This window comes from Homo sapiens, chromosome 2, assembly GCF_000001405.40.
Source record: "Homo sapiens chromosome 2, GRCh38.p14 Primary Assembly".
In the NCBI taxonomy this organism is placed as follows: domain Eukaryota; kingdom Metazoa; phylum Chordata; class Mammalia; order Primates; family Hominidae; genus Homo; species Homo sapiens.
In genome coordinates this window covers 210,002,589-210,026,775 of record NC_000002.12, presented here as the reverse complement: position 1 = coordinate 210,026,775, position 24,187 = coordinate 210,002,589, and the positions used below count along the sequence as shown (strand labels likewise).

General features: G+C 37.8%; 2 protein-coding genes across 28 annotated transcripts in view, besides 2 other annotated features; one reads left to right on the top strand and one right to left on the bottom strand.

Annotated features, from left to right (window-relative positions):
- The window catches only part of KANSL1L (KAT8 regulatory NSL complex subunit 1 like), a 151,340-nt gene extending 145,985 nt beyond the window's left edge, over positions 1-5,355 (top strand). For all 11 annotated transcript variants that reach the window (XM_047443489.1, NM_001307976.2, NM_152519.4 and 8 more), the window contains 3 exons: positions 1,560-1,672; positions 2,575-2,743; positions 3,597-5,355. In XM_047443489.1, the coding sequence (XP_047299445.1) occupies positions 1,560-1,672; positions 2,575-2,743; positions 3,597-3,827 (513 nt within the window). In that variant the 3' untranslated portion in view covers positions 3,828-5,355. The remainder of the gene's footprint in view (positions 1-1,559; positions 1,673-2,574; positions 2,744-3,596) is intronic.
- On the bottom strand, positions 4,516-24,138 carry RPE (ribulose-5-phosphate-3-epimerase). 17 transcript variants are annotated; one of them, NM_001278283.2, is made up of 8 exons: positions 23,993-24,138; positions 23,308-23,338; positions 17,040-17,119; positions 10,664-10,803; positions 10,519-10,572; positions 10,135-10,269; positions 9,217-9,303; positions 4,516-7,107 (listed from the first exon to the last, which is right to left on the bottom strand). In NM_001278283.2, exons 4-8 carry the CDS (start codon positions 10,799-10,801, stop codon positions 6,985-6,987), a joined length of 537 nt encoding a protein of 178 aa, NP_001265212.1. In that variant the 5' UTR covers positions 10,802-10,803; positions 17,040-17,119; positions 23,308-23,338; positions 23,993-24,138; the 3' UTR covers positions 4,516-6,984. The 17 variants fall into 17 exon arrangements, 16 of the variants coding, with proteins under 16 accessions (NP_001265212.1, XP_006712740.1, NP_001265211.1 ...); XM_006712677.5 differs by lacking the exon at positions 10,519-10,572; NM_001278282.2 differs by lacking the exon at positions 17,040-17,119.
- Positions 23,870-24,039: an enhancer, noted in NCBI's record as "active region_17054". NCBI's record gives its function as "activates an Ori minimal core promoter by ATAC-STARR-seq in GM12878 lymphoblastoid cells {active_cell/tissue: GM12878}" and the evidence as "EXISTENCE:reporter gene assay evidence [ECO:0000049][PMID:35858748]".
- Positions 24,080-24,129: an enhancer, noted in NCBI's record as "active region_17053". NCBI's record gives its function as "activates an Ori minimal core promoter by ATAC-STARR-seq in GM12878 lymphoblastoid cells {active_cell/tissue: GM12878}" and the evidence as "EXISTENCE:reporter gene assay evidence [ECO:0000049][PMID:35858748]".

The following is a 24,187-nucleotide window of genomic DNA, read 5'->3' as shown; positions in this document are numbered from 1 at the left end:
AGCCAAAAGAAAATATAGCATTTGTTTATGAGTTTTTGAGATACTGAATTTACGTGAATATCCACATTCATTGTCAGTATTAATTATATTTTTCTGCATGAGATTAGTCTCACTCATTATTTAAGTTTAAATGCCATTTTCAGAATCTTAGGACCAATTTGCTCTTCGGTTTAGAAAATTTTGGACTTTAAAAAAGTAATGTGGTAAACATATCACGTAATACCTGTAGAGTCTCGGGCGTAAAAGTAATCAGACATTAATGTTTCTGTAGTGAAATATTCATAGTTGAGTTGGATAAACACTAAAAATAGCCTCACATCATTTCAGATCAGGCTATGTCACCAAATGAATTATGAAAAATTTGTTTTTGCAGATTTTTGGATTTTGGAATTGCAGGTAAGGGGTTGTGAATAGGTATGGATAAAATTATATCAAGATAAGATTATAGGGAAAAATACTGTATAACCAAACTAATTCCAAGGTGATGGTCTCTAGAAGATGACACTGTTGAAGACACTTGGTTTCTGTCAAGTAACAATCTTTCTATGTCCAGTGGTCATGTTTTTCAACTACTAAAATTTACCTTCTAATGCCCTTTCCTCTTCTAATGTATTCTTCCTTACTTCTGAATGATCCTAGCCAAGAAACCCAAATTCTTAAACACCCTAACTAAGGTAGTATTCCAGGTTCAAAACCTAGATAAGTCATTCATTAAATTAATGCTGACTTGTCTAAGATTATTAGTTTTACTTTTATCTGATATTAACATCTTCTTAGAATAGTATGTACTCCACAATGGACGATCCATAAAAACTCCTGAATGAATAAAACATTAAGACTACTGGTACTAAGCTATGGCAAATGGAAAGTATTACGAACTCATCTGTAGCCTACCGAAGTCTTCAAATATGAACCAATAGGAAACAAGTATTTTTAAGTTTTTTGAGGTGGGAGGATTGCTTGAGCCCAGAAGTTCAAGGCTGCAGTGAGCTATGACTGCACCACTGCACTCACTACAGCCTGGGCGACAGAGACCCGTGTCTAAAAATAACAATAATGAAATAATTTTTAAAAAATTTTGACTCCCCTTTTACAGGAATTTGGAGTTCATCTCATAACATTTGTTCTCTCAACTTACACAGATAGCATTTATTTTAGTTTGCTTCCTACTGTTTTCTACATGAGAAACTCTTTGAAACCTGATCTTATATTTCTTTTTTTGAGACAGAGTCTCGCCCTGTCACCCAGGCTGGAGTGCAGTGGCACGATCTTGGCTCACTGCAACCTCCGCCTCCCGCGTTCAAGCAATTCTCTGCCTCAGCCTCCCGAGTAGCTGTGATTACAGGCGCCTGCCACCATGCCCAGCTAATTTTTGTATTTTTTAGTAGAGACGGGATTTCACCATCTTGGCCAGGCTGGTCTTGAACTCCTGACCTCGTGATCCACCCACCTCGGCCTTCCAAAGTGTTGGGATTACAGGCGTGAGCCACCGTGCCCAGCCTGATCTTATATTTCAAAATGTTTCTGATTAAAACAAAAATCTTTATTTCTAATTCCAGATAGAAGATCTTTCTGATGAAGTCTTCTCCCTAAGGCACAAAAAATATGAAGAGAGAGAGCAAGCCAGGTGGTCACTATGGGAGCAAAGCAAGTGGCACAGAAGAAACAGCAGGCAGGTTACAAATTTAAAACCCCAAGCCATAGAATCCATGTGAAATGAACAAAACCTCTGCATGAATTTTGGGTGAGACCAGTAAAAAGGAAAACATGCTGTTGTAACATCAGCTATTGTGCACCAGAAGTAAAATACTACATAGAATGAGCTTGTATTCAAAATATATTTGAGCTAATTATATAATGATGAAATTAGTTTCTGTATTTTCCTCTCTTATGTTGTCAGCCTCAGGAATGGATTTAACTAACAAATAATGTGAAAATTCTCTGTATATATAAAGTAGGTCATTTCAATCTACTTTAATAATGGACCTCACACTGGGGACTGGAGTTTAGGTAATCCATTTTAACATCACTACTTCCAAAATATGTTTTTCTTTAAAAAAATAAAAAATTTCTCAAGAAACCTGTTTAATCTAAAATGCAAAAAGTCTAAAATACTTTTAGAAACACAAATGAGCTTTGAGGGAAGGGGAAATAAATCAGACATAATTATTATATATATGAGAAAATTCCTATTTTATATTTATTATACATTTGATCATTTTTAAAATAGCCAAAACTCAAAAAGGCAAGATTGTGTGAAGTCTGGTAGTCACTTTAGTTAAGGAGCATCTTTCATTTAATTAGTCAGACAAAAGACAAAAGCAAACCCAAATAAAAAACAAGAATAACCCTCCCCCCACAACTGTTATAATTCGGTAAAATATTTCATAAAGTACTATTTCATCCTCTGAGTATGAAAATAATAAATAGCACCAGGGGAATTTTTAAAAATCTTTGGGCAAAACTGTTTAAAGTTACCAAGTTAACTTGACTCAGTGATACCTTGGGTTGTTCATAAATTTTCAAGACCTCAAAAAATAAAAAATAATTGTGTTTTCCTGATTTTCTTGCTAGAGCTTACAGTAAAAATGTTGAAGGACAGGACTTGCTTTTGAAAGAATACCCTAATAACTTCAGTAGCAGTCAGCAATGTGCTGCTGCAAGTCCTCCTGGGCTTCCTTCAGAGAACCAGGATCTGTGTGCATATGGCTTACCTTCTTTAAATCAAAGTCAAGAAACCAAGGTAAGTGTAATATGTATGATTAAACTTCCCATTCCTTGACTTTTAACTACTTGTTTGTAGAAACTACTTGAAAAAAATTAAGTTTATTACATCATTACATAACAAATTCAATAAGTTAGGTATAGAAGATCTGTATTGCAGCATTTTGTGTCCACTACTAACTATAATCACCTTGTGTAACAAGTCAATACGAACTTCCAAGTACTTATTTATCTATTAGAGAGTGGAAGTACTATCAAAGTTTCATTACGAAACAAACCTGATTAATGAAGAATAGCACCTGCTACATGGCCAAAGTTAGCTGCTATTTCTTTCTCCTCATATCTTAAGATTTTTACATGCCTCACCACAGACCCAGTTCCTACTTTAAAGGGACTGCTTTCTAACACTGCATCCATAAAGTTCTTACACCTTTCTTCCTAAATAGATACTGAAAAAGAACTAGATCTAGAATGGAATGGAGATTATAGAATTAATAGGCAAGTTGCAGAAAGCTCAGGAAAGAAAAAGTTAATAGGTACCTTTAATAATGAAAATGAAGATACTGTAGAAGTATATCAAACCTAAGAACACTTTCCCAAAGTACTCTTAGGTCGGAAATGAAGACCACTGCCTATGGCAGCATTTCCTCTTCTTGGCAGAGGCAAAGTAAAGAAATAAATCCCAAAAGTCACTCAACAATTCTCAATATATTCCATTTTGAGTTGCTATTTAAGTTGAAATGAAAAATTGTACATTTATGTGCTAAAGAACAGAACAATTATTACAATATAGACATGTACAGATTACTTGTTAGATGAATTTAAACAAAACAAGTTAGTTGAAACTTAACTGAAAATTTTTCCCCTTTCAGTCTTTGTGGTGGGAACGACGGGCTTTTCCACTGAAGGGTGAAGACATGGCAGCCTTATTATGTCAAGATGAAAAAAAGGATCAGGTTGAAAGGTCAAGCACAGCTTTCCATGGTGAAATCTTCGGTACCAGTGTACCAGAGAATGGCCACCATCCAAAAAAGCAGTCAGATGGAATGGAAGAATACAAAACCTTTGGTCTAGGACTTACTAATGTTAAAAAAAATAGGTGACAGGGAACAGGTTAAGAAAACTATGTAAATGTAGGAAAGATGGGAGGAAATAAAGCCCTGTTCTGGATCCCCCATCCCCTCCAGAATAAGAGCATGTTCTGCATGTATTAATCTTTTATGCTGTTTATGAAACAGGCAAGATAAGTCTGTTTTTCCTTCTGGAACCATAAGGGTAACCAGATTTTCATCTACAGACAAGTGGTAGTCATTTGTGTTTATCATGCAACTTACTTACAAACACCAAGATATTAATTGCTGCAACTTGATGTCAAATCACATTACTGGGTAATTTTTAAGACTATGTACCCACACCATACATACATACATATATATATACACATACATACAAACCTGTGTGCCAAGTGACAGCTATTTTTTTATATACATGGTAATTCATTAAAATTGCCTTAGTAATATATTAGAATATACAAATATGTGTGTATAAAATAAACATACACACACACACACACCCCTATGTAGTTTTTAAAACACTGGCAATGACCCACTCCCCTTGGAAATGCATGTATGAACTACCCTATGAAATGTAAGCTGCAGAATAGATAAAACACAGGTTTCCACTAATAAAAGACATCTGAACGTCCTGAATATAGAGACAGAAGTTTTTTGTTGTTGTTGTTGTTGTTTTAACATGTTTAACCAACAGAAGTTATTTACAGAAATTCATATATCCAGGCAACACAAAACTCCTTTATTCAAAATCACTGCTATCTTTGGGACTAAACACAGGCTACTTTCTGTTTACTCCTAACAAAATAAAGCAAGCAAATTTGAGTCAAATATTGGTGCACTTTAATACTATCACATCTTTGAAAACTCAATTTGAGTTTTACCAATTAATGTGTCTCATGAAGAGAAGACACCAGTTTTAAAATGAGCCACAAACAGTAAAGCCCTATCAGTATAAAATTTGAAAAAAAAAAAAAAGATGATTGTATTTCTAGATTAGCAAGAAATTAGTTAATTCTGGCTGATTTCTATTTCTAGCTAATTTGGTCATTCTTTGCCATAGCTTACTCTATTCAAATAAACATATATTCTTGCTTGCATCCTAGATTGGAAATTAAAATTTTTCAAAGAACAAAGCTTCAATATTGGATACTGAAGAGTATACATGAAAGAAAATTCCTTTTGAAGCTATTAAACCATTTTTTTCCTATGTGAAAGTTGAGGACAATTTATATAACTCACTTTTTGTCATGTAAAAAAGGTTACTCAAGTTGTACTACCCACATAACTGAAAATATTGGCCATTTGGCCTTATCTGTGAGATTTGACACTAAGTTTTTGTTAGAGATTGGAAATTATACTAGTCCTTTTAAGGGGTAAAAAATTCAATTCAATACTGACAAACTTTTGCTTGTAGTTTTACTGTACATTTATTTTTAAAGAAAAAGAAAACAAAAGCCAGACAAACCCAAGTTGTCCAGGCAAATAAACTCAAATCTTTGTCACGTCTGATATTATAATCTTCTATGTAAGTTTTTTAATTAAAGTTATTTCTATATGCCGTGTGTTGCTTGTTATTAAATGCGACGTATTCATGGCACAAAGCTTTCCCAAGCTGAATAAAAACAAACATTAACAAATTTTTACCTTGTAATGCAGGAAGAAACCCAAGCAAGCTCTAGTCTGTGCTTAAGTGTTAGCATTCTTATTTTTTGAACCTTATTTCTCAAAACTTATAGTAGCCTCAAGAAGTCTATTGATATTGGTCATGTTTATTTCTTGCCATATTTATAACACAGCAAGAGTATTTACAGGAATGAAGTAGCTGACACATATTTTTAGACTCTGTATAATTCAGAACAGTTATAAATATTTAGTTTATGGATTGACTCTGTATCCTGTCATCTTTTCGCCTACCTGATCTTTCTTGGAATAAAATAATATATCCTTGGGGTCAAGATCCATAGTTCCAGAATTTTCTCAGCCATCTGGTTCTGCTACAGCGTAAAATTAGACTGGAAATAAGACAACGTTAAGTAAAAAGCTTCTTTTACCTAACCCACCTCCCAAGGGCTCCATTTGTAAAAGTACAGACCAGAAATTCTACCACTTCCCAGATCCTTTCCAGGGTACCACCCTATTAAGCATTAATTTCTTCATTTTTTAAATGGGGACAAAAATATCTGCTTTATTATTACCACTTACTTATAGAGGTGATTTACAGATTTAATGAGAATATATCAAAGTACTTTATAACTCACAAAAATATAAACTTATATAATGCTGTTTACTTTGTGTTGAGCATATTCTAAATTCTGGGACTAGTACTGGAAACTTTACATATATAGTGTTAGCTCTTAATTCTCAACAGAACCCCACAGTTGCTATAATTACATTTAATGTATAAATGACTTTAGAGAAACACAAAAAAGATTGGGTGATTTGTTAAAGGTCCAGCTAGAAAGGGGCAGTCAGAATTCAACCCAATATTACCTCCAAACAGAGGTTTTACTTTTTCCTTTCTACTCAGAGCTAACACAACAGCATTATTTAACGTTCTTAAGAATGGTGGGGAGGAATCACTGAATAACCTGCTTTGACAAAACACCCTGATAAAATCTATGCTTGTATTTTAGAACCCCTGGGTTTCACACATTGTTTTTATAGTTTTCACACATCAAGTGTAAGGTGAAAAGTGATAGATTTTAAGAACCAAGAATATGGTATGCACCCCACCCAAACTTATAAACAAATCACAATAACATGAAATAGAAAAAAACCATAAAGACTTCCTTTGCTTTTGGAAAACAGCTGAGAAACAACAAAATTCTTTTCAGAAGTACAGACAAAATTTGTTTTTGTAGTGTAGCTAATATGCCCTCCTTAGACATTAAGACACTTTTCTGTTTGTAACCCTAATGCAGCCGTATTTTTACTTTATAAAAATCAAATCTCTCAATAAAAACAGTATCTTACTCACTAATCAATAAATTGCATCACTAAAAATGTAGTTATACACACCAATTTCTGACCTCTTAGAATATTCTGCACAATCAGTTTTAATCACTGGAATGAATAACTGCTCAAAAAAGCAGTACGGCTTCAATTGCATTGTGATTTGGTAGTCAATATTCCTGTTTTCCAGTAAAAGGGAGATTTCATGAACAGGAACACTGGGCTCCTTATGGTTTCACCGATCAAGAGAACGTTTCTGAGCAGCTTCTGAGCAAACATTTCTTAATAGATTGATCACAGATCTGGGGTCTTCACTCCTCATAATAGCACTGCCAGACACAATCATGTTAGCTCCTGCCTGGAAGAAGTAAACAGTTAGGTTATGCCTCAAAGGAAAATGTAGAAAAACCTAAAACAGAATTCCTGGACTAGAGTGTCTACCCTTGCATCTGTCAACATTTCAATCATATGAGAGCCACTTTGAGATTAAGCAGACTTAAGCAATCTAGTTCAATAAGAAAAATTTAAAATGTTCACAGATGAGGATGTCAGACTATTTTTAAATGTGTCTAAGAAATCATTGACCTTTCTGGTAAACCAACTCTTAATAATCTACATGGTATCTTTGCGACCTTTAGATAAGGTTTAAAAGCCTTTACTCCTCAAGTCCACTAAGGTTTTTCCCAATATGCACCAATGCCTCTACAGTTACTAAAAAAACACTTTTATTCTTTGAATTATATTTATATGAATTTGTGAGTGTGAAAGGACAATTATTGCTAAAAATGTAAAATTATCCATAAACTACGGCAAAATTAAGTGAGTTCTCGTTTTTGTGTCAAAAAATAGAATGTCTCTTTATACTTCATTGCATTTCAGAATGGTTTTGAAGTGGCTTTAAAAAAGTTTTTAAGATACATTTAAATATGGAAGCAAAGAAATTGAAAAAGAAAAGCTAAAAAATTGGGTCCAAATTTAACTCTGATCTTCCTAGGATCTGATTCAAGGATGGAAACCCAATCTGTTTTGTGATTCATTGCTAGAACAAAGAGGGAGAAGTGGGAGAACCACAGGCTGAGGAAAATTTTTCCAGACAGATAGTGTCACTTCATGTATGACAACATTTCTAACAATATTCCTCACAGAAATTATAAAGGTGAGTTTTATAGGGTTAACACTGCAAATATTCTCTTCAGTTAACCCATTTATGCCTAGTGTTCCATTATTGGAACGCTAAGCTTGTGGGAGTTCTTCATATCCTGCTGTTTAAGGTCATCGCCAAGGTCTGATTTTTCACACAAAAAATTTGCTACCTCTGGCATAAAAGCAGGAATAGTATACTGGCAAAGCACAGTTTAGTACAAAGCAATTCCACAAGCGATCAAAAGGATATGAGCTCACTCATCATCTGGCCAGCCCCTCCTGCATAAGTATTTACTACTGTCAAGCTTTTGATAGGTATATATCAAGCAGAAACGTGTGGCAGTTATACAAGAACCTGGAAGTAGATACATCACACTGTGGAAGAAAAGCAGTCATGTAAGCTTTAATCACTTGCAGTGCTACCAGAAGGGCTGGCATCCTCAGGAGCCTGACTATGCTAGACTAGCTATCTGAAAAAAAAAAAAAAGTAAAAAAAAGTTTTTACTTCTATACAGATAGCCAAAGAGGTATCAGGCCTAGATTTTCATCAAAAATGGTTCTAGCAAGTTCTTACAAGGAACAACTAAATAATATGTAGGTTCTAAAGAATAATGTAATAATTAGGTCAATTAGATTTATCTATTTTCCCCCCTTGGTAGTACCTTTTAATTCCGTATTTTGGAAAAATTTCTCACTTCCAAGGCCGTGAAACTTAATGATCTTCCAAAGGGCTGAAATTCAACATATTCTTTTATAAAAAAGAACTTTCTTCAGCCTTCCTGAGAAAACCAGGATTTACAATTTTAACAATTTATGTGATTTTAGAATATCCACTTACGGGCCAGACGCCATGGCTCACATCTGTAATCCCAACACTTTGGGAGGCCGAGGCAGGCAGGTCACTTGAGGTCAGGAGTTTGAGACCAGCCTGGCCAACATAGTGAAACCCTGTCTCTACTAAAAATAAAAAAATTAGCCAAGCATGGTGGCAGGTACCTGTAATCCCAGCTACTCAGGAGGCTGAGGCAGGAGAATCGCTTGAACCCGGCAGGCAGAGATTGCAGTGAGCAGAGATCACGCCACTGCACTCCAATCTGGGCCACAAAGAGAGACTGTCTCAGAAAAAGAAAAAAAAAAAAAAAAAAAAAAAGCATATCCACTTATGGCTGTTTATTTTCCTAGTTGTACATGTGAACAAAAAATACTTTTCCAAGAAAGAAAGTCAACTTAGGAACCACAGAGGGAATCGCTGGCCCATGAGACAATGTCCTGGAGACATATTTGACGGGAAATTGGTCTAGTCATAGTTGAAGAGCAATCTCACCTCTGCACATTTATGGACAGTGTCAGGACCTACTCCACCATCGACCTCTATATCCAAAGATGGGAACTGGGTCCTCAACCAGTGAACCTAGATATATACATGAGGAAATAAGTAACTCCTAAAGTGGGTATGTTGGTGGGGGTGGGGGTGGGGGACAATCAAACAAAAAAATCCAACAGCAAATATTAGCAATTAAAACTCCAATTGTCTCACACAATAACTATACCAATACAACATATTACTGGGGAACACTTGGTTTTTAATAGCAAGCTTTGTTCTATTTGGCAAACAGCAATCTGTATTGTCTTTGCAGAGACTGTCATGTAAACAAGACAGACAAATCCTCAATAGTCAATGACAACTTCCAAGAGATCTAAAAGTTAGAGATAATAGTTTCAAAAGGAAATTTCAAGACTTCCAGGCGTGGTTGGCTGCCACCTGTAATCCCAACACTTTGGCAGACCAAGGTGGGAGGACAGCTTAAGCCCAGGAGTTCAAGACCAGCCTGGGTACGTAGTGAGACCTCCTCTCTACTAAAATGTGTAAGAATTAGCCGGGCATGGTGGTATGCACCTGTAGTCCTAGCTACTCAGGGGGCCGAGGCAGGAGGATCTCTTGAGTCCAGGAGGTCAAGGCTGCAATGAACCCTAATTGAATTACTGCATTCCAGCCCAGGTGACAGAGCAAGACTTTGTCTCAAAGAAAGAGAAAATTTCAAGATAAAGATGTAATACTTCTCTGATTTCCAAATCAGAAATCTATTACAGCATTTATTATACTGTATTAGAATGATCTGTAAGCATCCCCATCTCCTCACCTTCAGAACAGGTTATGCCTAAATATACAAGCCTTTCAATAAATGCTTACTGAATGAACACACTGTAAAAGCCTCACCCCAAAATCAAATACTTCTTTTACCTTTGGCATCATATCTTCCATGAATTTCTGCCCTCCAAACCCCGGTTCCACTGTCATAACCAAGGCCATATCTATCTGATTAGCCCATGGTGCCAAATACTCAACTGAGGTTCCTGGTTTGATGGCAAGGCCAACCTGTAACAGACACAAATATGCTATATCACATTTACAATTACTTCTGTATTATATTATTGTGGCATAGCAGGCCCAGTAGAAATATCTGTTCTTATTTTTTAAAAGTTAACAAGACTATTAAATGTAAGTATTTTCAACAAGCAGTAGCTTTCAGAAAACTTTAGTGGAATACATAAATGCTATGTGACAAAGAAGTTAAATCCTGGCATCATAGCTGAAGAACAGCTGCTTAAGTAAGGTATTCTTTACCTGCAATGGGCCCTGACTGTGCCACTGCACTTCAGCCTGGGTGACAGAGCAAGACTGTATCAAAAAAAGAGAAAATTTCCTGTTTCCCGCAAATCTTCCCAACTGAGAGTGAATGTTACAAAACACTCTCATCACGATTTCTTACCTTCATCCCATTCTCCCGAATGTCTTTAATCAAAGCCCCTGGGTTCTCAGTAGCCTCGAGATGAAAGGTGTACTGATTGGCTCCTGCTACAGCCATTGGCTTTACCCACTGTTCTGGCTTGGACACCATCATGTGCATGTCTAGAAAGAAAAGACACTTCAAAATATTACTGAAAAATACCTGGCTCATGTTATTGGAAGCCAACCTGTATGTAGTTTTTGCCACTTCTGATAAGAACTCTTTGGCCATCACACAAATCATTATTTAAATAGTTCTAATTCAGTATAGGTAGTTTCCTCTTATTTTGAAGACAAGGATTTATTTAAATTCATTTACAAAAAACACTATTTTCCCACAAAAAGCATACAGTGCTGTATATAAAAAGTTAACATCTAAAAATCAGGAAATCTAGGTCCAGGTCCAGGAAATGCCACTCTAAAAAACTTAAAGAATAAGTCATACTATCCATGCAAACTAGTTTCCTCTAGGAAAAATTAAGTGATCCTTTTCATTTATTCTTTCAATTTATCGAGCTATTGCTGCATCATTAATTATTCTAGGTCCTAGGGTTAGAGCAAAAACATGAAACTCTCCTGTCATAGGGATTACATTCTTAATGCGAGAGTCAAACAATAAACAAAATAAGTAAGTAAAATGCACACTAGGTTGGCAGTTAATATGGCTGGTGTGCCTGGGGAAGGAGATACACCAGTCAGAGGTCAGGGAAGCATGTGGTGAGGAGAAACCCTTCAGCATTCTGCAGGCCACTGGGAAAAACCACCACAGTGAAGTGACAAGATACTATCGACTGAGGAAGCTACGATAGCAATAACCCAGGTGAAAAATGATGGCAGCAATTCGGGATGGATATGTTCTTAAATAAGAGCAAAGAGAGCTGAGGATAGATGAGATGTGGAGGATAAGAGGATCCTCCATGGATAGATAGATGAGAGGAAAATAAAGATGGCATCAAGGATTTTGACCTTATCAACTAGAAGAACGGAACTGCCATTAATTGAGAGGCAAGACTGCAAGAACAAATTTAGGGGGAAGGACATGTTGACTGCAAGAAACCTGATATTCATCCTAATTCTAAAGCTTGATTCATATAAACACATAAGGTGAAAATGGGCATGGCCTTCTTAAAGATCTTGATTTAAAACATAATAGCATTTCATAAGAAGGAGAGGGCAGCTTAAAACAAGCTAAACCAAGAAATAACACTGTGAAGAATCCTGTGTTTGATAGATGGTAGTGAGGAGAGGTTTTAAGTTTTTTATTTTGCTAGAGGAAGCACATTTCTGAAACAGCCAAGCTATATTTAAGAAAAAAATTCTAACATTTCAGAACAATTATGAAATACAATAAAGCCTTGAAAAAAAAAAGTCAGAAAAAGAAAGTATAAAGCTTGACTAATAAAGTCAAGATTAACGTTTGTATTTCTAATCCAGCAAAAGTAATTGTATGAGAACTTTTTTTTTTTTAATAGAGATGAGTTCTCACTGTTTCCCAGGCTGGTCTCGAACTTCTGGCCACAAGTGATCCTCTGACGCTGGCTTCCCGAAGTGCAGGGATTATAGGTATGGGCCACCACACCCGGCCTAAATTAGAACATATTTTAATAGGTAAAACTTTATTCTTAAAAAAATGTATTAAATCTGGTGTTTCTTATTCTTTGCATCATAAACAAGGAAAATTCAAGCCGGTTTAAAATACCTACTCCAGGCCGGGCGCGGTGGCTCACGCCTGTAACCCCAGCACTTTGGGAGGCCAAGGCGGGTGGATCACGAGGTCAGGAGATCGAGACCATCCTGGCTAACACGGTGAAACCCCATCTCTACTAAAAATACAAAAAAATTAGCTGGGCGTGGTGGCGGGCGCCTGTAATCCCAGCTACTCGAGAGGCTGAGGCAGAACAGCGTGAATCCAGGAGGCGGAGCTTGCAGTCAGCCGAGATCGCTCCACTGCACTCCAGCCTGGGCGACAGAGCGAGACTCCATCTCAAAAAAAAAACAAAAAACAAAAAAACCTACTCTATTCATTCCTTAAGTTACCAGACTGCTAGCTATGTCATCCTTACTCAACCTCTAGCATCCAGTAACCACTAGCAACCCTCAATGGAGAAGTTCTATGGTGTTCAGGGAGTCAATGGTTCAGCAAATCTGTGCATAGTTAACATTAGATCAGCAATTCCCAATCATTCTATCATCTATTATAATCATAATCTATTATTCATAAACTTGGTCAACAATATGCTGATTAAAAAGAATCTAAGGTCTATTAAATTCTAAGTTACATTAAAAAAACACTATATATGGCTAGGTGCGGTGGCTCAAGCCTGTAATCCTGGCACTTTGGGAGGCCAAGGCAAGTGGATTGCTTGAGCCCAGGAGTTTACACTCTTAAAAATTATTAAAGACCCCAAGAAACTTCTGTTGATATGGATTATATTTATAGATATTTAATGTATGAGAAATTCAAACTAAGACATTTTAAAGCATGTAATTTTTGGCGGGTTTGGTGGCTCACACCTATAATCTTAGGAGGCTGAGGAGGGAGGATGGCTTGAGCCCAGTTTGAGACCATCCTGGGCAACATAGTAAGACTCCTTCTCAACAACAACAGAATAATTAGCTAGGCATGGTAGTGTGCCCCTGCAGTCCCAGCTACTGGAGGGGAGAGGTGAGGTGGGAGGACTGCTGGAGCCCATCAAGACTGAGGCTTCAGTGAGGTATGAAGGCCACCACTGCACTCTAGCCTGGGTGACAGAGCAAGACTGTCTCAAAAAAAAAAAAAAAAAGGATAACTCTATTACCTATTAATTAAGAGTGGTATTATTTGTTTTACATTTTTGCAAGTTTTCAGTGTCTGGCTTAACAGAAGACACCTATATTCTCACATCTGTTCTGTATCTAATCTGTTGTAATACAGATGTTCTGTAACTTACAATGGGGTTACATCCCAATTAACTCAATCTAAATTGAAAATACTGTTATCTCTAACTGCATTTAATATACCTAACACACCAAACATCATAGCTTAGCCTAGCCTATCTTAAATGTGCTGGGTGGTAATTTTATAAAGGTTAGCTGCAGTGTGCACTCTGTAAACCCTATCAATGAGCTTTTCATTCTTTGTTACATTAAAACCCATTGTTTGTCTTGTATTTTGAATGGGTCTTTTAAGTACTGATTTACTGAGTTACACACATCTTACAAATAGTGACAGATTTCATTCCATAGTACCCCAAAATCACATTTGGTAAAATAACTACAGATCTCATCAGAAAAGCTTGTTAACTGTTGGGACGCTATCAAACCCAGAGTGGTAAGATACACAAGTTTTTTAAAATTCTAATTTTGGGAACAAAAACTGACAAGGTATCTTTCCTTGAAGAGACAGCCTCATTTAGTTAATATTTTTTAAATGTCATTAAAATAGCCAGGTCTGAAAAACCATAGTTGATCTGTCAGTTGTTCTTTCAAACAAACATAGTGTTCTGGAGGAAAGCAGCTAGTTCAGATCACACCTCTATGGTGCAAGTGGTTTTCCTTGAGAAAACCATTATGTTCCAGTATGCAGCAATGCAGCACAAGCACTTTATATGCACTTCCTACTTTGCCACACAAAATATTAAAAAGGCATGTATTCAGGGACCAAGATTTATTAATTTCTACTGCTTCATCAAGGATATTTATTGCAAATGCATGATGATGAAGAATAACTCCTGATACAGTCCCTGCCTTGAGTTGGTTAAGGCACCAGCAAACTAACTCATCAATGTTTTTGTACCATCAGTAGAAATAATGGCAAATAATTTCTTAGGATTATGAAAATAGTTTTGATATACTCTCATGGATGACCCGAAAGGGTCTTAAGGATTTGTGTGGGTCCTTATACAACATACTTGAGGATCACTGATTTAGACAATAACAGGAACAGACTTTTCCCATCACTGTATTTCTTAGACATTTATTTCTACTCAATATGAAAACTGAACAGTTAAGAATGTTAGCGTTACATATACAACACAACATGTAATCTAGGTCCTAGAATACATTCATGTATCAATTATCCAACAACCAAAATCCAAGAATTAAACAAATGTTTCTCAATATAAAAAACAAAGGTAGTCGGGCTCAGTGACTTACACCTACTATCACAACACTTTGGGAAGCCAAGGCAGGAGGATGGCTTGAGCCCAAGCATTCAAGATTAGCCTGGGCAATACAGGGAGATCCCATCTCTACAAAAAGTAAAAAAAAAAAAAAAAAAAAAAAATAGCCGGTTGTGGTGGCACACACCTGTAGTCTTAGCTATAGCTGTGGCGGGAGGATTGCTTGAGCCCAGGAGTTCAAGGATGCAGTGAGCTATGACTGTACCACTGTACTCTTGCCTGGGTAATAGACGGAGTCTGTCTCTTAAAGCAACAACAACAACAACAACAAAAAGCGAAAAACCAAAAAACAAGGGTCACAAAACCCAAACATTAAAGTGAATGGAGTTCATTTATCTTTTAGACCAAATTCTAGAAAGATTAATTAGCAAGTTTATCAACAAATTAAAAACAAGAAGAAAAAGCAGATTGTGTGTGGTGGCAGCAACACAGGATTGCTAAAAGGAAAGGCACTGACAGGAAGGGATATAGACAATAGTATGGTGTGACAATGGGAGCCCAAATAAAAGGGAGCGAAAAGGGGAAAAAAAGCAAGCATTAAAAAAATTCACACAAGCAAGCCAGAAGCGAGGATTCTGGCCATTGGTTGTACAGTGGGAGAAAACAATGCTATTTATTTCATCTACCTCTCATGGTCATGAGAACAACCGTAATTCATAGGAAAAGTCACGGTATCTGCTATATAAGCTAATCATGGCTTAAAAGAAAGTTTAGATAATCAGAGGACTATATCCCATTATATGGAAATTTCAAAATGGTGAATATATTGGTGGAACATTGTTTCCTCATGCCACATAAATGAGGTAATAATGTACATTTTCTTTGGTGAACTCAAAGTAGATAGATCCTACACAGAGGCTGGAGACTATATTCAACAGAATTTTCTGTGATATTGGAAATGTCCCATAGCTGCACTGTACAATATGTGACTACTGAAGACTTGCAATGTGATTAACGTGAATAAGAAACCGAATTTTTAAGTTTATGTTATTTAATTTAAAAAAAATTTTTTTTTTTTGACATGGAGTGTCACACTGTCACTCAGGCTGGAGTGCAGTGGAATGACCTCAGCTCACTACAATCTCCACCTCCCAGGTTCAAGTGATTCTCATGCCTCAGCCTCCTGAGTAGCTGGGATTATAGGTGTTTGCCACCACGCCTGATTAATTTTTGAATTTTTAGTAGAGACAGGGTTTCACCATGTTGGCCATTCTGGTCATGAACTTAAGTTTATTTAATTTTAATAGCTACATGTGGCTTATGACTACCATAGTGAACAGCACAGAGTCCTTCATAAAACTGGTCAGCAATATGCTGATTAAAAAGAATCTAAGTTCTACTAAATTGTAAGCTACGTTAAAAAAACTATTTATGGCTAGGCTGGTGGCTCAAGCCTGTAATCCTAGCACTTTGGGAGGCCAAGGCAGGTGGATTGCTTGAGCCCAGGAGTTTGAGACTAGCCCGGGAAACATGGCGAAACTCAGTCTCTATTTTAAAAAAAAGAAAAAAATAAATAACACTATTTATAAAAATGTGTAAAATTTCTCATGTTTAAGAGATCTGGCAGGTGAGACATTGCTAACTTAACATAAATCACTTGTAGGCCACTAAGTAATCTTAAAAATCTTAATTTACATTGTACTAGGACATTGGAGTGAATATTTAGGCACCACTTGTAGAAAGCTCCAATTTGCACAAAATAAATGGCTTCTGGACCATAAATCAACTGATTCATAAATTCACTTAACAATTACACTGAGCCCTGATCATGTCTATGCTTAGCTTTAGGAAAACCACAGTAAACAAACTGGATTCAATCCCCGCCCTCAGAGAGTTTATAGTCTAATAAAAGTAATCGCAGATCAAAGGAAGTTCTCAGAGGAAAATCAACAGGTGATAAGATAATTGGATAAAGGTTAATTTGGGAGAGGACGCTCAAAAAGGCCTCTCTGAGGAAATGACAAATGACTTGAGGCCCAAAGATGAGGCAGCCAGCCAAGCTACTACCTTTCCATGCAGATTAGCCAAGGCCCAGAGGCAGGAAGAAGTTTGGCTTGTTACTGGAGTCAGGCCAATGAAGACCCAGGATAGGAAAGTTGGGGAAAGGGTGCCAGATGAACTTGGAAGTTAAAATCAACCATCCAGTTTTCCTTTACTTGAGCAACACATCCAGCTTCAGATGGCGTAACACCCACTTACCAAAGAAAGGGTCCTGGCCTAGCTGCTTTCGAAGGCTTTCTACCACAGGGTGACCAAAGGTGATGTTGGGAACAAAATGCCTACAAGACAAACAAAATCTACTCTGAAAATGTTTTCAATTCAGTTTCTGTATCTCTCTCAATATGAATTCTGACACAGGTTGAGGGGATTGTCTGCAATGTTTTTCAATTTAATACTTAATCATCAGTATTAAATAATACTAAAAATAATGGGTCATTTTGGTTTTACTAGGCAATGTCTCCTTGACATTTCAACAAATCACGTCACATATATTTTCATAATGATTTGACTCCGTAATTCACGACCCATGACAAGTAGAAATGGAGAGATGATAAAATCAGAAACCCTCAGGCTTTATGACTTGCCCAAGTCACACACTAGTTAGTAAGTTCTGGACTCTAATATTGATCTCCTGAATCCTAGTCTATCTCAGGAGGCCTGTGGCTACTTCTAATCACTTCTATCACAAGGCACTAAATGACAGTTTCTTTAAACTTTCTTAAAGATGACTAATAAAGAAACATGATGTGTTTATTAGTAACGACCACCTTTCACCGAGGGTTTACTACATGCCAAGCATCGTAATTTACTTCATTTCATCTTCACGACAGCCTTACAAAGTAGATGCTATTATTATCCCCTTTGAAGAGCACAAGATAAATAAAATCCTTAAGTAACTCAGTTAATAATTTGTGGAAGTGGATTCAAATTAAGTCTACCAGCCAGGCACAGTGGCTCACGCCTGTAACCCCAATACTTTGGGAGGCTGAGGCGGGCAGATCACTTGAGGTCAGGAGTTCAAGACCAGCCTGGCCAACATAGTGAAACCCTGTCTCTACTAAAAATACAAAAATTAGCTGGGAGTGGTGGCATGCACCTGTAATCCCAGCTTCTAGGCAGGCTGAGGCAGGAGAATCGTTTGAATCTGGGAGGTGGAGGGTGCAGTGAGCCAAGATCGTGCCACTGTATTCCAGCCTGGGCGACAAAGCGAGACTTACCTCAAAAACGAAAACAAAAACAAAAACAAATCAAGTCTACCAGACCCACGGTACTTATCCTTTACCCTACTCCAGTTAATCTTTTTGTTCTATCACTAGTTCACTTAAATCTTTAACAAAACCGGGGCCGGGCATGGTGGCTCACACCTGTAATCCCAGCACTTTGGGAGAACAAGGTGGCAGATCACAAGGGCAGGTGTTCAAGACCAGCCTGGCCAACATGGTGAAACTCCGTCTCTACTAAAAATATAAAAATTAGCTGGGTGTGGTGGCGTGCGTCTATAATCCCAGATACTCAGGAGGCTGAGGCAGGAAGATCGCTTGTACCCAGGAGGTGGAGACTGTAGTGAGCTGAGATCACGCCACTGCACTCCAGCCTGGGCAACAGAGCAAGACTCCATCTCAAAAAAAAAAAAAAAAAAAAACAAAAACAAACAAAAAAAATCCCCTATATGCAAGTACCATACTAGGTGCTTCAGAATACTGTTTTGTAAAGGAAATACGCTACAGTTCCTATGACAGAGATTGACAGCTAATGAATGACTCACCAGAATTCACAACCCTACTGCTATCGTATAGTTGTCAGTGGGATGTCAACTCAGTCAAACCTTTTCATTCCCAGTTCCCTTTATATTCAAGTGGCCCATGTGACTTTACATCCCAGTTCCCAGTTCCCTTTACATCCAAGTGGCTCATGTGACTCTCACCACCAGACTGTGAGTGCAAGTAGTGTGTCACTGCAGAGCTCAGAAGGTTAAGGAGAATTCCTTTCCTATTGCCACTTTACCCTTCTGCCAACAAAGCCCTTACAGAATGGAAGAGCCACAGAATGGAATAACACTCACACTGAACTCTTTTATGAATGAGAAACTAGAATGCTAAGCTACTGAAATCTGGGCTTTGTTAAAGCAGCAGGTATTATCCTATATGAGGATTACAAGAAAAGCTATACAATAACAGGCAGGTAACGTGATTATAGATAAAACATACATAAAATAAGAGCAAGTATTAGAGAACGTTAAGAAAGAAGTTCATGAGATTTACAAAATAGGATTTATAAAGATGGGAAAAGAAACAAAGGCTGAAAATGAAGCAAAAGCAGAAATAAGCAAGTTACAGTCAAAGACGTGGAGAGTGGTATTGACCAACTTTGGCTAGTGTAAAAAAAAGATGGGAGGTTGGTAGTATCACATTAAAGGTGTCAAATGCCAAGCTCAGTGTCTGGACTTTTGTCCTGCTGTAAATATGAAGTAAGATCTTAAAGTGAGAAATATTAATAAATAAGATAGGATGGGAAATAAATTACAAGAGGGTAGGTGACTGCAATTGCCACTTGGTAAGTGGCAAGGAACACTAAGAATGACAAGACAGGCAAAACTGATTGGATCTGTTAAATGATTAGGTGTGTGGGAGGGGAGTTAAAATACAAACTATGTTTAAGGTCTCACAGTTAGATGACAGGTAGAATGAGTGCTAATAAAAACCAAACTTATATGTGGGCCACACACAGTTCTAAAGACTTTCTGTATATTAAATCATTAAAACCTCACAACAACCCTATGAGGTAGGTACTTTTATTAACTGTATTTTACAGATGAGGAACAGAGGCCCAAGGTCACACAACCAGTAAGTGCTGGAGGCAGGAATTAAACATAGGCACTATGGCTACAAAGTCCAGACTCTTAACTACTATGCTCATCTGTCCCTATAATGACAACAAACGAAACAAACAAGGGGAAAAAGTCTAGCGGAGAAGAGATTCAAGAGAGAGAGGTAAGGATTCAGGACACATCTGAGAGGGACACATAAGGTGGATGGGAACAGACACTTTCACTCAATAACACCTTGGTCTTTGGAGGTTTAATTTCTATCATTAAAAAAGTGATTCTAACATTTGCCTGAGCAATGATTGTCAGGGCTGTGGATAAGATGCATGTGTTTACTTAGAACTTGAAATAAGGGTCACAGAAGCAGGCAGTAAGGCCTATTGAATGTTTTACAATTCTGGAATTAAAGATCTGAATTTCACATACTGTTCTTTTAATTTGCTGTGTAGTCTGGGAAATAGTTTCGTTGTCTTAACAGTAGGTTTCATTTATTATGAAAATAAAAGTATAATAACCACCTCCCGAGTAAATAAAAGAACCAAAAAAAATACACTTTTACTTTTTTGGGAAAACCTAAACAAAACGTATAAAAATACTAACCCCAAAGTTACGTGACTTAATTTGTGCTTTTGAAAATCAATTCAATGCACTAGGTTCACGAAGTATATTGGAAGAACAAGAATGCATCAGTAGTCTCAAAAAAAAACCCAAAGGCTACGCTAAGCCATAACAAAAAGGGGCTACAATCCTAAGCACGAAGTCAGGGTGTCCCAAATTTGCCAAACAGTAACCATGAGAGCAGTTCTAATGTATTTACAGTCTCTACCTCAGCCTACTGACTCCAAAGAGGACCGGGAATCTGAATTTTGAACAAATGCCAGAGGGAGTTAACAGACCAGCTTGGAAAACACTTAATTATTTCACTTAACAGAGAGAAACTTCACTAAAAAGTCTGCTTCATCATTATCTTATTCTGCCTCTTTTTCCTTTAAGTTATTTCCTGGAGTTAGTTAAGTGTGAAAGAAATAAAATAAAATAAAAAGGTATCCCTTTCTTCCAGGGACTTACTGGAATTACACTATAATTTTTTGTAATACAAGGATACAATTTTCTCTCTCATGTTCCATCATCACTCCTAAGCTTTACTTACGTAATTCTAACACAATCTACTGCAGACAGATCAAGCCATTTACCCTATCTCCCAACAAGGCAAAGATGGTAAGAGGAGGATTAGAGTTGCTATAAAAGGTACAGGACTGTAACTAGAACACAATCTTCCTGTGAATCAGGAATCACAAACTCAATGCTGCTGAGAGTTAGGTAACATCAAAGAGCAAAACAGAGCAGATAGGGAAAGGGGCCAAATGAAGTACACCCCACATGACTAAAGGTGAGGCTGCCCCTGTCAGCTCCAGCGCATGTCACCTGGTAAGACTGAGGGCCCAGTGCTAGCAAGTCTTTGAACTGTTTTTTTTTTTCCCCCAAAAGTCAGAAATGCAGTATTAATGTGAAATCGTCCCAGTTTTAAATCCTGGTAGCGAATTTAGAAATTAATTCTTTGCTCTGTTCCCATGGTTAGGATGAACACATTCTAGTCACTGTCCTGTCATGATGCATTTATGTGTTTTCTAGGGTTTTTTTCCCCCAGAGAATCCACTTGTCCTTTGTTTCACATATCCAGTCATGCTAGTGCTCCACCTTCCACAGTATTCCCCAGACTGGTTTCTGACTTTCTAAATGAAGAAATTCAGTTGTAATCAGGGGAGAAATTGGAGGTCTTAGTGGGGAGGAGACTAGAAAACAATAAGCACATCCAAAGTGTAATGTTGGATGAGATTTTTAAAAGGGGCCAGGAAAAAAAAAACACGAAGGCAGTCCTGGGAGGGAAGGGACATTGTGGCTGGCCACATTTCAAAAAGGAGTCCACAGCCCACTTTCATAGCCCTAGCCTAGTAGACACCACAGCACATCACGTAGGGGCACTGGCACCAACTCTGCCAGGCTCTGCTGAATCTGGTGAGACATCAGGGAAGAAGCTGAATCTCCCTACACTGGTTTCCTCCTTTGCAAAAGGGGAATAGAAACAGCTCTTAACTCAGAAAGTAGAGAAGATTAAAAGGGAAATAATTTTAAAATTGTGTATGCAGAATTCAGTTTTTCCAAACCAAAGTATCTCCTGGCAAAGGGGAAGAGGAATCAATAAAAAACAAATACTTCATTTTTTATTTTTTTGTTCCCAAAACTCTGATCCATGGTAAATACTTTGCCTTACTGAGCTCAGTCTGCCATAGAGCTGCAAGGGGACAAAAGTGACTTCTGAGAGACTTCTCCTATTATGATTAAGCTATTCATTCATTCGGCCAACAATAACTAAGCACCTTATGGTGCTTTTCCAGCAAAGAATATATAGGTGAGCAAAAAGAAGATAAACTTGGCTTTCAGGAAGCTTATAGGGTAGCAGGAGAGACATGAAATAAGTTAACAAAAATAAGTATACAGTTAACAGAAATAAATACACAAATTATTAGTTGCTTTTTTGAGGCCAAACAATGTCTTAGTCATTCCCTGTAAGCCTAGGAACCACAGAAAGCATTTCATTTGAGACAACACAAGCTGTTGCATTGCTTCCAACCCTGGCTCCACCATTTCCTAGTTATGAGACCACTGGCAGATGACTTAACCTCTCTGTGCCCAATTCCTCGCTGTCAAATGCTGGTGGTAATAACACCACCAATTTCAAACGGTTGTTTGAGTTAATTCACAAAAAAACTCCAGAACAGAAACAGTCAAGTGCTCATAAACATTGCTACTATGGTTATCATTAATAATCCTGACTGGTGAACCGAAACAATTACTTTCCCCAACCATTAACTTACTCAAACATAGTTTAATTAAAACCAAATTGCTCAAATAGACTCACAAATATACACATAGCTGTTCCATCCTGTGACCCTCTAGGTATTTTCTCAGGCACAAAAATGTAGCTACTTACCTTTGAGGTAGACACTCAGGGTATTATTACCTGTGACAGTTTAGGGCTTTCAAGCAAAGATGTCAAAAATAAAGTATATAAGTATAATTACATATAATGGCCAATTAAAAGCCAACCTTTGTGAGAGGTAATATTTACTAAACTTTTTACACATTTGGCCTATTATTTTTAGTACTCTATGGTCAAAGTTTTGTCATTATCAGTTGGGTGGACTCCTAAGGTAACTGGGTAAAATGCCAAAGAGAAACAATACATTTAACCACATAGAGCAATGGAAGATAAAACTCTTCAAAGCCAGATTAACATTAAAAAGAAAAGGAAATCATCACCTTTAGAAAATAACACCAATTTGCAAACTGAATGAGGGAACACAGGGTTTTTACCTATTTAAAATAAATTTATTTTTCCATCCCCACTCAAGATAATGGTATTTATGATTTTTATAGTCAGTTAACAGTGGGGCTCAGAGAACTACTTGGCAAACCTAGGAAGAGCCAAGTTGCAAGTCTGTCACAATCTTCTGTAATCTTGAGGGAGTCTTACTGCTTTCTCTGGGGTTGTTTCCTCATTCTGTAACCAACTTCAGAAACTAATATCCTGACTCCAAACAATATTATGTGCTGTAACTACGGTGCTTAAAAATTACTTACAAAAAACTGACCTCCCTGAAGAGCAGGGTGCCTGAAGAGAAAATAGACAGGAAAATCAGAATTGTAATAATGATGTAATTAACAATTATAGAGAACTTAATATACGCCAGGCACTGTAAACTTCTCATGTACTCGCTCATTTCATCTTCCAAGATGCCTAAGCGGTAGGTTCTGTTAGTAGTTCCATTTTTCAAATTATGAAACTGAAGCTCAATGAGGTTAGTGGCTTGTCCAAGGTAACCCAGCAAGTGGCAGAACTCGGGAACCTAACCGCAGGTGCCAACTTAAATCGTTAGAGAAGTCTGTTTCCCCAGCTTTGCCACTAACTAGCTATATGAGCTTGGGCAAGTCATGCTTCTCCCCTTGGGCCTCAGTTTCTCTAGCTGAAAGTGAAGAAATGTCCTAAAGATTTAGGTCGCTTCCGGGTCCTAAGTGATGGAAGACCACACGTTACGTGGGGGGAGGGGAGGAACTGAGGTTTGGGACCCGGCCGCAACCCAGGATACCGCGTCGGTTCTGCTCCTGCTAGAGCCTCCAGGGCTCCTACCCCACACCCCTTCTAGCATCGCGTTCAGAGTGAGGCGCTCGGTGGTACAGGGACGCGGTACATCCAACAAGCAGTCAATAAAGGTGCACTGATCCGCCCCGCCGCGCGGCAAGCCCGACCGGAGCCCGGAGGAGTTACCCGTCCATTACGTCCAGGTGCAGATAATCGGCCCCAGAGTCTAGCATCCGGAGGCACTCGGCCCCTAAATTGGCCAGGTCGCTGTTGAGGATGGACGGGCCAATCTTGCAGCCCGACGCCATACCGCTGGCTCCCAAAAGCAAGTTACCCACGAGTCCCCGGCAAGGCTAGAGCGTCACCCCGATTGGGCGCGCA